The sequence below is a fragment of the Homo sapiens genome, chromosome 5, assembly GCF_000001405.40.
Source record: "Homo sapiens chromosome 5, GRCh38.p14 Primary Assembly".
NCBI classification, from domain to species: domain Eukaryota; kingdom Metazoa; phylum Chordata; class Mammalia; order Primates; family Hominidae; genus Homo; species Homo sapiens.
The window spans coordinates 34008109-34029652 of NC_000005.10; the positions used below are offsets into that span (position 1 = coordinate 34008109).

Genomic DNA, 21544 nt, shown 5'->3' on the forward strand with positions numbered 1-21544 from the left:
ACGCCCCCAGCCGCGGCGCCGCGCCCCAAAGGCACCACCCCCGTCCCTCTTTTGCGGGCCTGCGCAAGCCCGCGGAGTCTGCGCACTGGGCGCTTCCCCACCCCCGGCCTCCCGGGACCGCCAGTGCCAAATGCAGTAGGTTGCTTTCCTTTTTGTGCAACCTAAATTCCTGAGTCTTAAATTGCAGGGACTGACCTTTGGAGCTCCTGCCTGTTACCGTCCTCTCTGGACGCTTTTATTGTACCAGGGCGATCCCCAGCCCAACTGTACCATTCGAGTCCCTACTCCTGCCTTGCTCTAGGGAAATAAAATAACGTAAACACGTAAGAACAATGCGAAAGCGTTTTCTTCCCTAGGCTGCAGATTGTCTTCTTCACCGCCCCTGCTTAGCTAGCTAGCTAGCTGGGAATTTAATCCAGAAACGGCTTGCGATACCTCCTAGATGCACTCGTTTTGAGTTACAAACTCCGCGGATTACATGTCTTTTTAAAAAAGTTTAGACTACACTAGGAAAATTATTTTAGTATCAGAAGAATATCAGGGGTGTAGTACTCATCAGAGCTAAATGAGAGCGCTTTAAAAATGTTAGTTTGTCTTCCGCCATTTCTACAGAAAGCTGCAATTTCAGGTTTTCAACCTAATAGGTGATATTTAAGAAAAAAAAAAAGCAATCGCAAATAGCCCCACTGCTTTTACAAATCATTTTTTCTCTTCTAGGTATAGCCTGTCAGGTGGCCTAATGTAATTTTTGACATCTCTAGGAATTTTAATAGAACCAGAAATGGGTGCCAGAGATATGCCTGCACTAATCTTAAGTGGGGATTTATGTATTTCTCAAGCAAGTGATTAAAGCAAAACTAGGCACGATTGAAATCAAGATCTTTTAGGCAAGAAAGTCATGATGAGTTTTAGAATTATTTTAGGACTCTGTGGCTTTCTCTTCATAGAAATAGAAAAAAAAATTGTATAAAACCACAAAAGGTCCTGAATAGCCAAAGCAACACTGAACAAAAAGAACAAAGCAGGAAGCAACACACTACCAGAATTCAAATTATACTACCAAGGTGTAGTAACCAAAACAGCATTCTATTGGCATAAAATAGACACAAAGACCAATGGAACAGAATAAAGAACCCCAAAATAAATCCATATATTTACAGCCAGCTGATTATCAATAAAAACACCAAGAACATATATTAAGGACATTCTATTCAATAAGTAGTGCTGGAAAAACTGGAAATCCATATGCAGAAGAATGAAACTAGACCCCTATCCCTCACCATACACAAAAATCAACTCAGAATGGATTAAAAAACTTAAGACATACAACCCAAAACTATAAAACTACTATAAGAAAACAGATAAAACACTTCAGGACATTGACCTAGGCACAGATTTTATGACTAAGACTTCAAAAGCATAGGCAACAAAAACAAAAAATAGGCAAATGGGACTATATTAAACTAAAAATCTTCTGCACAACAGAAGAAACAACAGAATAAACAACTTATTGAATAGAAGAAAATATTTTGCAAATTATTCATCCAACAAGTGACTAATATGCAGACTATACAAGAAACTCAAACAACTCAACAGCAAAAAATGAAATAATCTCATTAAAAAGTGGGCACAGGATCTGAACAGACATTTCTCAAAAGGCATACAAATGGCCAACAGGTATATGAAAAAATGCTCAACATCACTAATCATCAGGGAAATGCAAATCAAAACCACAATGAGATATCATCTTACTTCAGTTAGACTGGCTATTATCAAAAAGACAAAAAATAACAAATGCTGGCAAAGACGCAGAGAAGAGGAACTTATATATACTGTTGGTAGGAATGTAAATTAGTTTAGCCATTATGGAAAACAGTATGGAGGTTTGTGAGAAAACTAAAAATAGAACTTCTATATGATCCAGCAGTCCCACTACTGGATATATGTCCAAAAGTATCGGGGGAACCCGCCCCCAATATTTCAACATAGGTTCTTTCTATTTTCCCTAAGTGTCGGCCAGTCTGAGAAATAAAGGGAAAGAGTACAAAGAGAAGAATTTTACAGCTGGGCCACCAGGGGTGACATCACATATTGGTAGGTCCGTGATGCCCACCTGAGCCGCAAAACCAGCAAGTTTTTATTAAGGATTTCAAAAGGGGAGGAGGTTTAAGAACAGGGAGTAGGTCACAAAGATCACATGCTTCAAAGGGCAAACAAGAAGAACAAAGATCACATGCTTCTGAGGCCAATAAAGATCACAAGGCAAAAGGCAAAATCAAAAACTCCTGATAAGGGTCTATGTTCAGCTGTGCACATATTGTCTTGATAAAAATCTTAAGAGAAATCAGTATGTCAAAGGAACACCTGTACCCACATGTTTATTGCAGCACTATTCACAATAGCCAAAATATGGAATCAACTTGAGTGTCCATTACTGGATGAATGGACAAAGAGAATGTGTACATATACACAATGAAATATTGTTTGGTCATAAAAAAAGGATGAAATCCTGTCATCTGCAGCAACATGGATGGAACTCGAGGTCATTATGTCAAGTGAAATAAACTAGACACAGAAAGAAAAGTATCACACGTTCTCACTCAGATGTGGGAGTTAAAAATTTAATCTCATAAAGAGTAGAATGATGGGGGGGCAGAGATGAAAAGAGATTGGATAATGGGTATGAACATGTAGTTAGAAGGAATAAATAATAGCTAAATAATAGTATTTGATGGCACAGTTGGGTGACTATAGTTAACAACAGTATATGGTATATTTCAAAATAGTGGCCAGATGCAGTGGCTCACACCTGTGATCCCAGCATTTTGGGGGGTTGATGCAGCAGGATCACTTGAGGCCAGAAGTTCGAAACCAGCCTGGGCAACACAGTGAGACCCCATCTCTACAAAAAACTTGAAAAATTGGTGAAACCCCGTCTTTACTGAAAATATGAAAATTAGCTGGGCATGGTGGTGCGCGTCTGTAATCCCAGCTACCAGGGAGGCTGAGACAGGAGAATCACTTGAACCAGGGAGGCGGAGCTTGCAGTGAGCTGAGATCGTGCCACTGCACTCCAGCCTGGGCGACAGAGCAAGACTCTGTCTTGAAAAAAAAAAAATCTTGAAAAGTTATCTGGATGTGGGGTACACCTATAAACCTACTAACTCATGAGGCTGAGGTCTGAGGATCACTTGGGCCCATGAGTTTGAGGCTTCAGTGAGCTATAATCACACCACTGCATTCCAGCTAGGGAGACAGAGTGAGATCCTATTCCAAAAAGAAAACAAAACAAAACAAAAAAACAAAAACAAACAAAAAGCTAGAAGAGAAGATTTGAAATGTTTCCAACACAAAACAATGATAAATGTTCTGGGTGATGAATATCCTAAAAACCCTGATTTGATCATTACACATTGTATGCATGTATCAAAATATCACATGTACTCCATAAATATGTACGAATATTATGTATTAATAATAAATCAATAAAAATTTATATGTTGAATCCCTAGCCGTCAATACCTCAGAATGTGACTGTATTTAGAGATAGAGCCAAAATGAAGTCATATGGGTGGGCCCTCATCCAATATGACTAATATTCAATCCTAGTATCTGTAGAAGAGGAGATTAGGACCAAAAAAACACAGACCTAAGGGAACCATGTGAGGACACAGTGAGATCAAGTGAGGACACTTGCTGTCTTCAAGCCAAGGAGAGAGGCTTCAGAAGAAATCAAACCTGCCAACATCTTGATCTTTTATCCTCCAGAACTGTGATAAATTAAACTTCTATTGTTTAAGCCAACCAGTCTGCGGTATTTCATTGCGGCAGCCTTAGTAAACGAATAACCCCTCTGCCCAAATTACAGATGAAGTCTCTAACGAGGTTCTCAGGTCACCTAATAGACTTCATTTTATATCTCAGAGAATTGCTTTAGCTATGGAACCATGCTTCTTAGATTCCGGGTTTATTTACCATAAATAATCCTTTGGCCAGGGATATCTTGTTAAGTGCATTCAGTCTTTCAATTCTCTTCCTCCTAGACAATATCATGCATCTATTTACACAAAATCCAGTTAATATGGAGATTCACTTGCCTTTTTCTTTCTCTTTCAGGGCATCCCTGTAGTAAGGGGGTAAATGCATCATCATGCAAGCTGCTTTTAAACTCCTTCCATAGCTAAAGTCTTCTTTAACTTTCACCTGTAGTGAGATTTCTTTGCCTCCCCCACCGCAGCATTCAAGAGGTAAACACAGCCAGGTGCGGTGGCTCATGCCTGTAATCCCAGCACTTTGGATGGCCGAGGTGAGTGGATCACTTACGGTCAGGAGTTTGAGACCAGTCTGGCCGACATGGTGAAACCCCATCTCTACCAAAAATACAAAAATTAGCTGGCCATGGTGGCCCCCGTAATCTACTCCAGAGGCTGAGGCAGGAGAATTGCTTGAAACCAGGATGTGGAGGTTGCAGTGAGATGAGATCATGCCACTGCACTCCAGCCTGGGTGACAGAGTGAGACTCAGTTTAAAAAAAAAAAAAAAAAAAAAGAGACAAACACTCCCATGACTTTGATGTATGTCCTACAGTCCATTATATCTATCTGCAGACATAGCTGTACTATTTATATACTATGTTTTGTTTTGTCAAAATGTTATTTTGTTTTTTATTTGATAAAGTATATTATATTGCATTTATTTTTCTAAACTACCTTACCACTCAATTTTATGTTAACTGGCTTCCCATTTCTACTACTTCCTCTTAGATCCATCAGGATTCTTGGCATAAATACAAAAAAAAAAGTTCACTGGAAGGATACCAAGTAGCTCATAGAATTGCTGGGAAAGCCAGAATTCAGGCAATTGGCAGGGCACAGAATAGTTTGAGCTGCTAGAGTCACATTCAAGGTTGCAGCATGAATGTCTGGTTAGGATGGAGAGTCTGCACAGAGACTCCACTCACCCCTGCCCTGCTGAACTCCTGCCAGCTGTGCAGGATTGGCACCAGCCTAAATCTGACCCAAATGGGCAGAGGGACTAACTTGAAGGGCTTCCCACTGACAATTAAGATGGAGCCTGTTAAACTAGAATAATGACTGTGGTGGATTAAAACACATCAAATACTATGAACATTCATGAGTTCACAATAATGGTTTTTAAAGCCTTCATTGATCCCTGCTGGAGATTGTTAGGGCACCAACTTTTTATTGTAAAAGTTGAATATTTATCTTGCCCTCCATATGAATGGTATTTCAGGATAACCAAATAGCTAATGAAAGAATATCTGTCTTTAAAACTTTCACTATTTGCAACCCCAAATGAAATAGCAGATTTCAGCTATAATCCTAAGTGGCTGCTGAAAACATTAGGCAAAAAGCTAAAGGGGGAAATGTCTTAGTCTCTTCAGCTGCTATAACAAATCACCATAGACTGGGTGACTTAAACAGACATTGATTTCTCACAGTTCTGGAGGCTGGAAAGTCCAAAATCGAGGTGCTGGCAGAGTCAGTTCTTGGTGAAGGCACTCTTTGTGGCTTCTTGTTATGTTCTCACAAGGTAGAGAGTGCGAGGGAGAGAAAGAGAGAGGCAAGCTCTCTCTCATGTCCCATGAAGACACTAATCCCATCATGAGGACCCCACCCTCCTGACCTAATCACATCCTGTATTAGTCCGTTCTCACACTGCTATGAAGAAATACCTGAGACTGGGTGATTTATAAAGGAAAGAGGTTTGACTCACAGTTCAGCATGGCTGGGGAGGCTTCAAGAAACTATCATGGCTCAAGGTGAAAGGGAATCAAGGCACTTCTTCACAAGGCAGCAGGAAGGAGAAAAGCTAGCAGGGGATATGCCAGGTGCTTATAAAACCATCCGATCTTGTCAGAACTCTCTCAGTATCATGAGAACAGCATGGGGAAAACTGCCCCTGTGATCCAATTACTTCCCACTGGGTCCCTCCCACAAAACATGCAGATTATGGGAACTACGATTCAAGATGAGATTTTTTGGGTGGGGACACAGCCAAACCATATCACCTCCCAAAGGCCCCATCACCAAATACCATTACACTGGGGATTAGGGTTTCCATATGTGAATTTTGGGGAGATACAAACATTCAGTCCATAGCAGGGAACTTATAATGTATAAATCTGGCTTTGACATCCTGAATCCACTGATAACTTTAATATCAATATAATAGGGCACTATGTACCTCCCTGTATGATGCAATGGACAGAACCACATATGAAGTTTTTCTGCAAAAATCTGAAGCCTAAATTTAATCAAGGCATCTTATTCATCTACTTATAGGAAATATAGAGGATAGAGGATAAACCAAAGGATATAATTGGCAAAATCCACAATGTTAGAAAGTAAATGATAAATAAGCAAGAAATTATTGCCCATTTAAAAAGACTTAGATACATCAATCGAATGTAATATACAAATATTGTTTGAAATCCTGATTTAACCAAACATACAGTAGGAAGGTATTTGTAAGACAATTGGGATATTGTTAAACACTGACTGGATACTTGATAATATTAAGAATTTTTTTCCTTTTGAGTTTATAATTTTTTTTTTTGTGGTTATCATCTTGTTTTTTTTCTTTTTCTTTTTAAATAGAGCCAGTCTCAAATTCCTAGGCTCAAGCGATCCACCTGTCTTAGCCTCCCAAAGTGCTGGGATGACAGGCATGAGTCACCTCGCCCAGCCCATGTTTTCTTTTTATGGTTATATTTTTTTAAACTAATCTCTCTGAGATACATGCTGAAGTGTTATAGGCCTTGAAAGCTAATCAAGGAACTTATAATTTCTGACCAACTGGATTTAAGAATTGCTATGAATCTTTGGCCTTTGTCACTCTCATTCCCTTCTTTTTTGAATAGAAACTTTTACACCTGTTATATGTATTTTCCTGTCCTACTATTTTATTAGATGTGGGGGGCCAATAACTTTTCTTTTTTGTTTCACAGGTTAGCAGATCAAAAGTAACTGTACTCGAGGAGCTGGACTGAAGAATTACTTCCAAAAAGCCTCACCCATATCTGGACATGATGCAGAAGATGAAATTCTAGACTTTGAGATGATGCTATGATGATGATGTGAGACCTCTGAGGACCTTGCAAGAAAATGACTGTATTTTGCATGTGGGAATTATTTGAGTCATTAGGGGCTGGAGGGCAATCTAAGGTTAACTTTAAGATGGCCCAATTGATCCCCTCCTCCTGGAATTCATGGCCTTGTGAAACCCCCTCCCTTTGAGTTTGGGCTGGCCTGGTGACTTGCTTCCAACCAACAGAATACCACAAGGTGATGGGATGTCACTTCCATGATTAAGTTCTAAGCTGTTGTGGCTTTTGTCTTGCTAGCAGACTTTCTGCATCATATTCTCAGTTTCCATGCTTTGATGAAGTTAGCAGTTCATTGGACAAGCCCATATCATAATGAGCTGAGGGTGGCTTCCAGACAATGGCTAGCAAAGAACTGAGGCCCTCAACCCAACACCCTCAACAAATGGAGTTTTGCCAGCAACACTAGGGAGCACGGAAGCAGAGCCTTCTCTAGTTGAGCTTTCAGATGAGCCAGCCCTCGTTGATGACGGTAGACCTGTGAGAGCTTCTGAAGCAAAGAATCTGCCTGAGCCATGCCTGGACTCTTGACCCACACAAACCATAAAACAACGAATGTGTGCTATTTTAAGCTGTTAGTTTGTGGTCGTTATGTATCACTAAATAATTAAAACATGCAGTAACTAATTTCTCTTTTAACAATTCTTTGAGGTACATGCTAGCAGACAACCCAATTTTACAAGCGAGGAAACTCAGGCACAGACATTGAGTAACTTGCCCAAAGTAACTCATTTATGCCAAGAGGGGAGAGACTTCTTTCTTATTCCACAATATTGCTGTGACACTAAAGAGTCAAAATGAGTGACAGTGGGTGTGTTTTGTGGGGTTTCTGCAGGGGAAATAAGGGTAGAGAGTATTTTTAAGGCATTCTGCAAAGCATGGTGTTGCTATGTCCATTCCACTGGATTAACACTTACCATCCAAACAGGGGTTGTGCCTCCTTACCTTGCACTGTCCAATAAACATTTGGAGAAGAAATTGTGCGGGGGTGGTGGGGAGAGGGTGGGATGTATGTTCAGCATTAGCTAGCTGTGAAAGTTGCAGATACCAGGATGAAATCACTTTCATCAGACCCAGACAAAATAGAGCTGGTAAAGCCCGAAAAAGAGGATGCTCGTGCTTATATGTCTGAGATAAGAAAAACCGTTTCCAAGAACTTTCTAAAAACCCTTTGGTTTATGACTAGACATTCTCCAGGACTGCAATAATTCAGAGATGATGTTCTCAAGAACACTTGCCCACTAACAGCGTCTCCATCCATAAACTGCTAACAACTCTGGCTTTCAACCTCTAGGACCAACGAACTCTGTTTCTAAGCAGCTTATGTAAACCTTTTTTGCTAACAAAAGTTCCCCTTCCCCTTGCCTCACCAAATGTACTCATGGTTTGCCATTCCATGCATTCAGATTATAATACTTATTTCTATTACCAAGTAAAGCCAACATATTTAATTTTTTTCTAGTGTCTTTTTTTGTAAGGTTGACATAATCAATGCTTGTCTTTAAAAGAAAAAAAATGGGAGCACCTCAAAGCCTCCCATTTTCAGCAGATTGATTTTCCTAAAACTTAGCCCTGGTTACATCAAAATATTGATCACAATTTAACAGTGATTCTTTAGCTGCTAATTTAAGTGTAGGTCTCACCTTGGCATTGAAAGCCTATGGCATTCCTTCTGTCTCCCTTTCTAGCCGTACCTGCTTTAACGCTGTATCAGCAATTCATTCCAGGCTGACTGCACACTATGCTGTTGCATACAAAGAGCTTGCAATTTCCCTGCCTCTTTTTTTTTCCAAACTGTTTTTCATTGCATAGAACACTTTGTCTCCCATCCTCATGAATCACAATCCTACCTATCTGCAGCATTTCTAGCATTCTCAAATATTGCTAGTAGAAGTGCAGATTTCTTGGAGGACAACTTGACAATATTTATTGGCAATGTTGAACCTTACCTGAGCCCCGTGTTTTTGGAAAGGAACTTTAAAAATCCTCCTTCCCTTTTGTTCTGGGAAATGGCTTGCTGCAAACAATCATGCTTTCTCTTATGACTTAAAACTTTCTTGTTTACATAGAACATGACCAGGCACAGACCCTCTAAATTCCCACTTTTTTTGTCTTATAAATAGCTGAAGTGTTCGTTGAACTGTTCGATCTGGGCAAAATGCAAACTAACTTGACTTGACCAAAGTTTAGTAAGGCTTTTCCCCTTTGCCCAGGTACCTAAACTTTGGCCCACTTTGGGCACTGGAACATGGAGCCATGTTAAAGTTAGAGGCCCCTCCTTCAGGGAACTGGCTGAACTCAGGAAAAAGTGTTCCCTAGTCAATGTCCCATCATACCTGTCACCCATCCCATCCCCTGCACCCAGTTCTTGTTTACTTCTCTCCATAAAAGAAAGCCTATTTGTGTTTGTCCTCTGAGCTACAGATCTCATAGATCTCAGAGCCTTTTCCCTATTGTCGTAGTCACCTTCCCCTTATGGCAATAATCCTTTTGAATAAAGTCCCTCCTTACATAAGTTTAAGCTATTTTTTTTTTTTAAATGTGACATTATTAACAGCTTTTAAAATGTCTAGGCTTTTTTACCAAATAATCTCACTTCTGGAAATTTAATCAAAGGAAATAATTATATGCACACATAGTTTATTTTTTTAAAAAGAGAATGCTCATGACATATTATTTGTAATAAAAAAAAAATAATATTTTCCAAAACAGGAAAGTTAAATAAATTATGCAGTCATTAAAATTATGTTTTCAAATTGTCCTTAGTAGCATTTGAGAGTGTTCTTAATATGTTTAGTCCAACCCATTAGAGCAAGATACAAAAATATATAAAAAGCTAATTTCAAATTATTTTATTACTATATTTAAAAATAAAAGCCATAAATACATGCAGGAAAAGACTGAAATAAACACTTTAAAATAGTAATATTATTTAATATTTGATGGGATGATTAATTTTATACTAAATATTTTGGGGAATTTTATAAATTTTCTATAGTGAGTTTTTTAAATAAAAATATATATATTTAAATATAACACTTCAAACATACCAAAGCAAGAAATTGTCTCTGGCCATCAGATATTATCTTTTCCACAAGCTTTTCTTATGCTCTCAGCTAGATACTGTTTCTCTCTCCTGTGAATTCCTAGCCCTTTGCCTTCTATGGCTGTAAAAACATTCTACTTTATGTTTTGTTATCCATGTACTTATTCCCTTTAGCCTATTGTCCTCTACTAGGTTGAAAAATTAGGGAAGGTAAGAATTGTACTTTAAATGCCATAGGAGTGCCTGGAATAGCACAGTATCTTGCATAAAGTAAATGTTTATGAATTCCAGCCACATCATTTGGAGTTTACATTTGCATATTCCATCCTCTGAATTATTTTTTTACATTTTAATTTTGACTTCAGCTTTTATTCATGATACAATCAATAAAATTCCTTCAATATAATCTCTTTGTTGTCCAAGGGTCAAATATAATGTTTTCTACACTGGAAAATTACCAAGGCTGATCATTATGTGAAACAGTTCTACACCATATTACATCCCTGAAGCAAGCAGAAACTCAAGTGCTTCGTTTGCAGAGTTGTTTTAAGATTTAGAATTTGCGGCTGGGTGCGGGGGCTCACGCCTGTAATCCCAGCACTTTGGAAGACCGAGGCAGGCAGATCACCTGAGGTCAGGAGTTCCAGACCGGCCTGGTCAACATGGTGAAACCCCATCTCTATTAGAAACATTAAAAATTAGCTGGTCCTGGTGGTGGGCGCCTGTAGTCCCAGCTACTCAGGAGGCTGAGGTAGGAGAGTCACTTGAACCCAGGAGGCGGAGGCTGCGGTGAGCTGAGATCATGCCACTGCACTCCAGCCTGGGCAGCAGCGTGAAACTGTCTCAAAAAAAAAAAAGATTTAGAATTTGCAAGTTTGTTTATTAGATGGTACATGTAAATTTCCTATGACACCTACCTACTGTTTCCTTTTTAGCATCTCAGTTTTGGGACACTTGTGAAATCAGTCTTCCAAGTATATTTCTGGTCATGGGTAAATTGTGAAGGCATTGGAAATTATCTGCACCTTTTCCCATCTCTGTTGTGAATCAATTTCCCACACACCTGGGACTTGTTGCCTACAACCAAACCTTGTGTGTCACTAAGGTGAAAACTTAGAATTTAAGCATGAACATTACAAAGACTTAAGGTATGTGATAAAAAACCTCTTTCCTTACAGGTATTCAGATTTTATTTGTGAGCCCTCTAAACATCAATGTCTTAAAGGGTTGACATTATAACAATGGAATAACTGAAAAGCGAAGTTTTCTGAAGTCATATGACCCTGCTGTGTGCCCAAGTCACCTATTCACATGGCTGTTCACATCATCTGCATGAAAATATTTTCACTTTCTGTTAACCATAGTGATTTACAATTCTATGACTATTAAAGTTTATTAAACACAAGTTTAGAAAGTATCTTTAACAAAGGTGTGTTTATTTCCATATATTGCTCATTACATTTTTCTTGCCACAGTTTTATCTAAAGCCAGGTCAAAATCTTTCTCTAAGGTATTTATTAATAGTGTATGTTCTTCAGATATAAAATCCCTCTGGTCAACATGCAACATTTGAATATCTATTGGCACTGTACCTCTATGAGATATTTATGACATTTGTTAATAGTGAACCTCAACCTCCTGACCCCACATCCGAAGTTGGGGGCGATGTGGGGGAACATACACAAAATTACAACCACATTACTGGTCAAGCACTTTATAGCTAAAATCTATTGACTTTAAAATAGCATTGTATGTGAATTCAGAGTTTTAATGTATTTTGTGGATCAAAAGGAAAGGGTCAAAGGCTAAGCTGAACACGGAGGGCACTAAATTAGCTAATAAGGCAGCTAGTGCCCCTGTTCTTGCCCCAGCCCTGTCATATCACTACATCCGATTCTCTCAAATGTTATAAAGAATAATGAACTTAAAACTTCAGGGGTTCCTGAAAACTGGTATTAAATTAAAAGCAGAGTAGTCAAAATTCTTTGCAAATGACTTCTGTGATAGAAAAAAATATTTCCAACCTGCGTCAGAGGAGAATTATCTTTTAGGTGCCAAGGAAAGAGTGATAAAGATGCTGAGTATATTAGTCAAGGTCATCTGAGAAGACTATTTTGTGGTTGATTCTTCTGAGCCCCTGAATTGTCCAACATTATTGGTGTACCTGTAGCGTGAACAACATTGCAACCAATAATTTTTTGAATACAGCAATGTAAAACCCTCAACTTTAATGTTCCTCAGATCGTAACAAATCAGCTCAGCTACAAGTCTTCCCCAAAGTGGAGCTATTCTAGTCATATATTTACTTAGTTTCAAAGAGCAGGAATCCTGCAAAGGTGGAGAAGCGTTGGTGGTCCCCATGGAGAGCGCCATTGCCCATTCGCAGCCAAACCTCATCCCCTTTGGCTAGCTTCAGCACAGCATGATTGCTGGATGTATCTGATTTGCCCTTCATTTCATAGCTGGAAAGAAAAAGAGGAACAAACTACTTAGTTTTTGCCATGAACAACCAGCTCTTCACCAAAGTCTGTGCTCCCCTTCTCTCCTTCCCACAGGTATAATCCTGCGGCTAAGTTCTCTAAACAGCCTGTGAGCAGAAATGACCTATGTACCACTTCTAAAGCTGGCTAGTAACACTCTCACAAAACCCCTCCCTGCTCCTTCTTATGACTGTCTGGAATGTTCATGACAATGACCAGAATGATCTTAGAAGCCATATGTTGAATACTGGGTTCTTGGAGACCATGTGGAAAAGAGCTCTCTCTCTTCTCTGCTCCAACCTGGAACAACCTTGGGCTGTTTGATGAGAAGGAAAGAAAGTTATATTATGTTTGAGCTATTCCACTGGGTTTTTGTTACAGTAATTTAGCTTCCCCTAACCAAGCTAGAATTTGGTACAAAAGGAGGCTGCTCCGCAACCCAAATAAAAATAGGCTTGCACTGGCTCATGGTCAGGCAAGGAGCAATGGGGAAACAAATATCATGGTCTGGGAAAGCAGAAGATCCATGTTACACTGTGCAAAAACATTTGGAAAATGTGATAACTTGGAAGACAGATCTAATGCCTGTAGGGTAAGAAAGGGAAGTGACTGGAAAAAGCCAAAGTACTCTTTGCTGCTTTTAGAAAGATGTTGCTACCAAAGATGAGTTAGGCAAAAACTGACTTGTTTGAAGAAAAGGAAGTAAATAATGTCTACGTGATTAGGGCCTAACAAGGTTAAAAAAGCCAGGTGTCTTTATATCTGGAAGAGCAGTGATAAAGTTGATGTTTTTTCCTTAAGACTACTCATTCAGCAGCCATAAAAAAGAATGAGTTCATGCCCTTTGCAGGGACATGCATGAAGCTGTAAGTCATCATTCTCAGCAAACTAACAAACACAGGAACAGAAAACCAAACACCGCATATTCTCACTCATAAGTGGGAGTTGAACAATGAGAACACATGGACACATGGAGGGGAACATCACACACCAGGACCTGTGGCAGGGTGAGGGGAAAGGGGAGGGAGAGCATTAGGACAAATAACTAACACATGCAGGGTTTGAAACCTAGATGATGAGTTGATAGGTGCAGCAAACCACCATGGCACATGTATACCTGTGTAACAAACCTGCACATTCTGCACATGTATCCTGGAACTTAAAGTAAAATCATAATAAAAAAAGACTACTCATTCAATCAAGTAGACACAGCTGTGGCACAATCTGATGGATTAAAAATATTGCCTTTCTGCCCAAATCGATTGCTTTAGAAGGCCTCAGGGTAACTCCATTAACTTGAGAGAAAGGCATGAAGACAAGGAATAGCAGGCTGAAAACTGTCAAGAAAAGTATATGGAGTGTGGTTTAGTAACACATGTAACTGACTTCACTTAATCTATTTAACAAATGAAGTAAAAGCCAGCTAAGTAAATAGAGTAAAATCGAGTAAAAAACAGAGTAAAAGCCTGCCAAGTAAGTTTCTGAGGAAATGGGTTTGCCAGAGACACAAAACCAGACTCCAGAGGCTTGGGCTGTTTGACTCAGCTTTCAAATTTGCACCAGCAGGAAGTGGGCTGTGAGAGAGCCTCGAGGAGGCCCTGCTCACCTTTCAGATGTGCCACAGAGAAAAGCAGATAAAGAAGACCCTCCTAGAGGACAGAACCAGGAGCCAAAGAGAAAAACAGCCAACAAACCAATCTGATAAAAAGGACTACTCATTGACTGACTCAGGGCTTTGAGCTGGATGCATTATTTGTGCTTCACAGGCTGTCTCCCATAGGGACAGGGAGATGGGGAGACATGTATTGTAAGTGTAGGAAGAAGAATTCAGCAGATATTTGGAAGCCAGTGGGCAGAGAAGGTTAGCTGTTCACCAGAATCCCCTTTCTTCTGTTCCATTGGCACTGCAATTCCATGTCACCTTTGCATTTGTTGGGTGGAAAACAATGTGACTAAGTTCTCTGAACAGAATTCCTGATCCATAAATATTTCCACAAGCTTGCAACAGCAAGCTTTTCTCCTTCTGACTCTGGCAATGACAATGACCAGAGAGAATTTCAAAGTCAGTTTTTTTGTTTGTTTGTTTGTTTGTTTTTTGTTTTGTTTTGTTTTTGAGATGGAGTCTCGCTCTGTCGCCCAGGCTGGAGTGCAGTGGCGCAATCTCAGCTTACTGCAAGTTCCGCCTCCTGGGTTCATGCCATTCTCCTGCCTCAGCCTCCCGAGTAGCTGGGACTACAGGCGCCTGCCACCATGCCCGGGTAATTTTTTGTATTTTTAGTAGAGACGGGGTTTCACCGTGTTAGCCAGGATGGTCTCGATCTCCAGACCTCGTGATCTGTCCACCTCGGCCTCCCAAAGTGCTGGGATTACAGGCGTGAGCCACCGCGCCTGGCTCAAAGTCAGTTTTATAGACAGCAGAGCTGCTTTCATCAGCCTGGCTTCCTCAAAAAACAGGAAGAATAAACCCACTCCCAACCTGCACCTCTCCTACAACCCCTCATTCTTTCTCAACCTGGAACTCTTGCCCTGGACTGGTGAAGAAAAATCAACTTCTAGCATGTTAGAGTAACTGGATCTCTTACTTGCAACAATTTCACCTACCCTAACTCATCTTCCTGTCTTTTGGCATTTCAAATACATCTTCCCACTCAGGTAAGGAAGGCTCCAGAAGTAAACACAGCAATTATCACACATCATCAAAAATAACAGGGAAATGATAACAGCCACAAAGTTTTTCATAGATAACTCATGGCCCTTTTAATTGTAAGAAAGGTGTCGGCTCTCTGCCTCTTTGCCACATTCCAAGCTAACATCAGAGGGCATGGGAGAATGGGAAAGCAGAAAAAGGGGCAGAGAGAGAGGAGAAAAATAATGAGTTATAAAAATAATCCAAATGACTGGTTATTGGGAGTGCTGCTAGTAATTAATGCAAGGCCTCTTATCAACCTGCTGATGCTCAAGTTCATCAGATTTACTTTTTCCCAAACAATAATGATGATAATGTGGCCATACTGGTGCATGAGGGCTCTTATTAAGGATAGGGGCCATGTCAGGCTCTATTGACTCCTATACGCTTCCCTGTCATTAGGCATTCCTTGAACAAACAATGGCAGCATGGATGAGACCCATGACAGAAAAGACCACCCACCTGTACATGCTGAAGACTGTGTTGCCATTGTGCATAAGGTACACATACACTTCCTCAACATCCTCATGCTTCATCATGCTGAAGGTGAAGAAATACACACCTGAAAAAAGCAGGTATATATCCATGTTGATATTAACATGTTATACATTGAGGACCTGGAGATACCTGGAGATTTGCCAACTGCCTTCACATGTCTTTTATTGATATTCTTTGTAGTATGGTGTCTCTCCTTGGCCTTAATTTGCAGGAATGTCCCTATATCTACTCCCCTTCCAAGTGCTTTCAATGTGTACACTGTGTATCCCGAATAAGACTTAAAAGTCTTTAAGGGAAGGAGCCTACCTCATTTTAACTGTATCTCACTGCCTTGTACCCTGACAAAGTGCTTAGGGCAAAGTAGGCGTTGTTCCTGGGCATAGGTTAGCGATCATCCTCATGTACCACAGAACTCGTGTTACCAAGGTGCAGAGATGTTTGTGGTTGAACAACGATGCTCCATGACTTAAGAAAATGAGCAACTATTACAATATAACAGATGATTAAACTCACCAAAGGGATTAGCCAAAGATGAGGAAATCCTGGAGCACAGAACAAATGTTTATGAGTTCTAAAGAAATGGTTCTGGTAATTTCTCATGCTATACCTTGTATGTTGGTGAAATTATGTACAATAAACAGAAAGACCCAACTTAGACTCAGCAACAGGACCTTGTCACTAAAAGTCTGTATCCTCTTCATTTGGAAAAGACCAACATATATTTTAAAAGATTTGAGTTTTTTAATAAGAGCCTAGGGCTCCTAATTGAAAGCAATATAATATGACCTAATATACTCTAAATGCCAGCACACAAGATACTTTCACTGAATGATTAAGAAGAATCCAATAGCACACAGACAAGACAAAAGGAAAATTTTTCAAACTCTAAATGATATGGGATTTTGGTGTGCATTTTGGAAAGGTGAATGAACATAAGTCATCAAACTCTTACTGATTTCCATGTTACATTTTAAACTAATGGCCTTTCAAGACAATAACCCAGAAATAGCTTTAATAGAAGATAGTTCTATTTCTTTCTCAAAGGGCAATCAAGTAAGATGAAAGTTGTAAGGGTGCCATGTCAATTCACCTGATTCTAAGTCAAATTAAACAAAGAAGTATGATGATGCTTTGTCTAGTGCCAGGAATGCATATTCAATGTTCTGGGAACAAAGGAAATGGCCTAAAAGTTTATCATGCCTATTCATATGCCTAGAGATTGGCCCACAGAGGAAAAGTAAAGGCAGATAAAAATTAAAAGCCTCAAGGAAAATAGTTTATATGTGTTTAGTTTTTCACATTTTACAAAATTTCCTATTAGACACATACACACACATAATTTTCAATGCCTCAAGAAGATAAAGCTGAAATCAAAATGACAGGAAAATATACTAGTTTTTCTTACAAAATGATGACTACTATTAAAAATAGGTTGCAAAAACATGTTAGAAAGAGGAGACTAAAACACCAGATGGTGAATAAATGAAATGCCTGGAGTTGGAAATACCGAAGTGAGTATGTATTATACCCACATGTGGCTTTCCTGCAAGGGAAGGTACTGAAACCAGAGGAGACACATTTGCACTACGGTTTGGAGGTCTTTGTGTTGCTGTAATTTCAAAAACCAGCCTTCTCCGTCTCTTCACTCCCAAAGTTGAAAAGGACAAAATGGTCTTTTTGCAATCTATTGCAAAAATGGAGACTGAAACAGAAAACTGTGAGAGTCAAATGACAGTTGGTATCACTAGAAGCTGAACGTCTGGCCCAAGAGAGCTCTAAAAAATTAAATCCTTACTTAGGCTTCAATTATAAAGCCATTTAATTCCATGGAAATGTGGACTAGGTATTTCTAGGCATTAATGTAATCTGTGGCATAGATAGCATTTAACAGAATAGTTGTAAGAAAATTATGACATAAACCTTCAGAGCAGAAAATCACACAAGAACATTTAAAGATGATTTTCATGACATTAAAGTGTGATGAAAGATTGCTTCTATCATTTCATATCTCAGTTCATTTCTGACTTAAACTGAGTAGAAAAAATAAATCAAGGTGCACTTAAAAGCATTTGTGAAAATCTGACAGGGCCACTGCCTCCATCAGAAGTTGCTTCCTTTTAATTCTGGATACCATATAGAGAAATGAGTAGAATTGAAAAACAAAAACCAAATAAATATCCACGTTCTGCAACGCTAGGAGACTGGAAGAAAATCAATGAACTTCAAAAATACCTGTAAGTGCTGCCAAATGCCCCTGAGGGTGGACAGAGTCATGTGGAGATAACACGAGGTTGGGCCAGGCTCTGAGGAGGCCAGGTGGCAGCAGGTGTCACACAGTGCCAGGAGAAATGCACTCCCTGATAGTGAGGGCCACGTGGAAGAGCAATGCTGAAAACAAGTCCCTGTGAACAGGGCTGAGCGGAAGCAAGGCTGTGTTTGGGGTGATGGTTGCTAGATACAGTGTAGGATGTGGAAAGAGGACCTGCAGTGGCCAATCTCAAAATCTGCCAGCAAAAAAAAAAAAAAAAAGAAAAGAAAAGAAAAGAAAGAAAAAAAAAGTCTCCTGAAGGCAAGGGAACCAGGAAGTATAAGGCTGGCTTCAGAAGCTTTCATGGACCCGGTGCAGTCTGGAGAGGTAGTGGAAGTGTGACCAAGAAAAACGCACATTAGGGCCATACTTAAAAGAATCCGTTAGTCCCCTGGCAGCAGGGGAGGGAGCCTTTGAGTTATCCAGTCTAGAAACTGCCCTGGTCCTTTCTTCACCAAGAAACTAGAGCATACGGCTGGTCTAGGAAAATTAAACTCATTCAACCCTCAGTTAATTTTTTAAAGTAGAAAAGAAAAGCAAAAATGACCCTAATGGATTAACAATACTCTCCAAGAAAAAATGTTGTCATGTAGTAGATGAAAAATGTAGCCATGAATTTATACTAATAAAGCAAATACCTCTATAAAAGAACATTATAGAACAAAAGGCGTGAACCCATGGTAGAAATGGCCAGACAATAAATGGAATGAAAAGCTGAGGGCATCAGAAAAACCTGGTGAGATCTGAATGAAGTCCATAATTTAGTCATAGTATTGTACCTAGGTTCATTATTTATTTTTATAATTGCACTTTGGTTATTTAAAATGTTAATAGTAGTGGAAGATGGTTAAACAAAATATGAGAACTTTGTATAATATTTTCATAACTCTCCTATAAGTCTAAAATTAATTCAAAGTAAAAAGTTTGTAAAGTGGGATTTTCTATTTATCAACTATCCAGAAACTTGAAAGCACATTTTGTTGATAAGGCTATCAGGAAATAAGTGCTTTCATATCTTGACAATTTAAGTATATTGGTACAACCCTTACAGGGAGCAATTTGGCAAAATTGATAAAAATTATGGATATGTTTATACTGATAATATTCCTAAAACTTTAGCCTACAGATATACCTGTAAGTGATCAATTACAAAGTGGTATATTCTTGCTGGCATGGTGGCTTACACCTGTAATTCCAGCACTTTGGGAGGCTGAGGCAGGTGGATCACTTCAGGCCAGGAATTTCAGACCAGCCTGGCCAACATGGTAAAGCCCGTCTCTACTAAAACTACAAAAATTAGCCAGGTGTGGTGGCCTGGGTCTGCAGTCCCAGCTACTCAGGAGGCTGAGTGGGGAGGATCGCTTGAGCTTGGCAGGCAGAGGTGGCAGAAGTTGCAGTGGGCTGAGATGGTGCCACTGCACTCCAGGCTGGTTGATAGAGACCCTGTCTAGAAACAAACAAACAAAAAAAATCCACCACCACCAAAAAAAAAAAAAAAAAAAAGCAAACTGGAAACAACCCAAATGTCCAGAAATAAGGGAATTCATTAAATATACTTTGGTACATTCAGCTACAAGAAAGAAGATGAAGTAATGACGTGAAAAGATTTCTAAAATATATTGTTAGTTTTTTTTTTTAAAGCAAGACACAATCAGAATGTAGAGTGTCCTAGCTTTTATTTAGAAATATGAGAAGATATATTTGTATTCATTTGCATAAACAAGCTCTTTTTTTTTTTGAGACGGAGTCTCGCTCTGTCGCCCAGGCTGGAGTGCAGTCGCGCGATCTCCGCTCACTGCAAGCTCCGCCTCCCGGGTTCAACCCATTCTCCTGCCTCAGCCTCCTGAGTAGCTGGGACTACAGGCGCCCGCCACCACGCCCGGCTAATATTTTGTATTTTTAGTAAAGACGGGGTTTCACCATGTCAGCCAGGATAGTCTCTATCTACTGACCTCGTGATCCGCCTGCTTCGGCCTTCCAGAGTGCTGGGATTACAGGCATGAGCCACCGCGCCGGGCCTTAACTTTTTAAATAAGTAAATGTATTACCTGCTCAATTTCTTTTAATTAAAAAAATAGGATCAGGCACTCCTTGAGGTGGTGGCAGGGGGAGGAAACAGTTATGACACATTTAAACTGAGAATTATGTTTTAAGGACTTTTAAAGTCAGAGGTAAGTATGTCCTCTTAAGAATTATTTAGCTCAGTCTAAATCAGAGTTAATAATATTAATGACTATGGCCATATTTTAAAAACTATTTTTGTCTTTTCAGATTCTAATTCGTTTACTTTGAAATCCAACAGAAATCTAAATGAGCTGTTTGGTTTAACGTGAATCAGAAAAAAAATAACTACCTTAATGTCATTCTTTATTTCCTACTCCCTTCCTCCTTCTTTCTCTCCCTCCCTTTCTCCGTCCCTCCCTCTCTTCTTTCCTTCCTTCCTTAATTGTCTTTATTATTACATTGATTAACTCAATCTTCATCCTATGTTTCCATCTCACCTGATACTGGGGCCCCAAATCTACCAGTCATGACATCAAAGAAGTTTCCAATGTTGGTCTCAACACTGCTGAAGATAATCCCACTGTTCTGATTGCTGAAGTGGGTTGCCAGAGAAGCCATGAATGCAATCTAAGGAAAGAATTATTGGTCAATAAATAGGCAATTTATCTTAAAGAAGTCAAGTTTTTATGCAGATTAGTTTGTTAAACATTATACATAACAGCAAGATTGGGAATAAACATCAATCTATGGAGAGAGAAACAAATAAATTATGGTAATTCCAACATTTGAATGCTATGCAGCCATTAGATTGACAATGTCTATCAACAGTTCTGAACATAGGTTTCAAAGATTATTTGTCTTTCAAATGATTTTTGAAATACTAAAATTCTGTTATCAAATAATACCAGAAAATTTTATATGAAATTTTCCACTTATAGCCGAGAAATGCACATTAGCAAATTCAAGGACCTGAGAAACCCTATAGCCAAACATTTTAATTTTGGTAACCCTGCATTATTTTTTCCCGAAAAGATACCTATTAATTTCTTTTTTTTTTTTTCTTTATAGAGACGAGGTCTCACTATGTTGCCTAGGCTGGTCTCAAACTCCTAGGCTCAAGAGATCCACCTTCCTCGGCCTCCCAAAGTGCTGGGATTATAGGCGTGAGCCATGGTGCCTAGCCTATTAATTTCTAATGAAATTAATTCTTTGAATACACTTTGAGAATTCTTGATGCTGATCTAAATGTGCATCTGTATAAAAGGAGAAAATATCTTCAATACACTGTTTACCCAAAAAGTAGACAACACAAGATCATTATTATCTGATACCAGCCTTTATTAACTGTGTCTGTGTGGATGGAGTCATTGTGTGGGCAATTCAGAAAAATATCTGC

At 39.3% G+C, this 21544-nt stretch overlaps 1 protein-coding gene and 1 long non-coding RNA gene across 4 annotated transcripts in view, besides 1 other annotated feature; both read right to left on the bottom strand.

Moving 5' to 3' along the window:
- C1QTNF3-AMACR (C1QTNF3-AMACR readthrough (NMD candidate)) overlaps positions 1 to 21544 on the bottom strand; it is a 137543-nt gene that overhangs the window by 21123 nt on the left and 94876 nt on the right. Inside the window, exons 4-6 of the long non-coding RNA NR_037951.1 lie at positions 20646 to 20775; positions 15801 to 15900; positions 12479 to 12634 (exon numbers count right to left, since the gene is read on the bottom strand). This is a non-coding gene — a long non-coding RNA (C1QTNF3-AMACR readthrough (NMD candidate)). The remainder of the gene's footprint in view (positions 1 to 12478; positions 12635 to 15800; positions 15901 to 20645; positions 20776 to 21544) is intronic.
- Positions 79 to 158: a silencer, noted in NCBI's record as "silent region_15964". NCBI's record gives its function as "represses an Ori minimal core promoter by ATAC-STARR-seq in GM12878 lymphoblastoid cells {active_cell/tissue: GM12878}" and the evidence as "EXISTENCE:reporter gene assay evidence [ECO:0000049][PMID:35858748]".
- The window catches only part of C1QTNF3 (C1q and TNF related 3), a 226867-nt gene continuing 215072 nt past the window's right edge, over positions 9750 to 21544 (bottom strand). For all 3 annotated transcript variants that reach the window (NR_146599.1, NM_030945.4, NM_181435.6), the window contains 3 exons: positions 20646 to 20775; positions 15801 to 15900; positions 9750 to 12634 (listed from right to left, as the gene is read on the bottom strand). Coding sequence is in view for 2 of the 3 variants with exons in the window: in NM_030945.4 (NP_112207.1) it covers positions 12475 to 12634; positions 15801 to 15900; positions 20646 to 20775 (390 nt within the window). In the remaining variant the exon portion in view is untranslated. The remainder of the gene's footprint in view (positions 12635 to 15800; positions 15901 to 20645; positions 20776 to 21544) is intronic.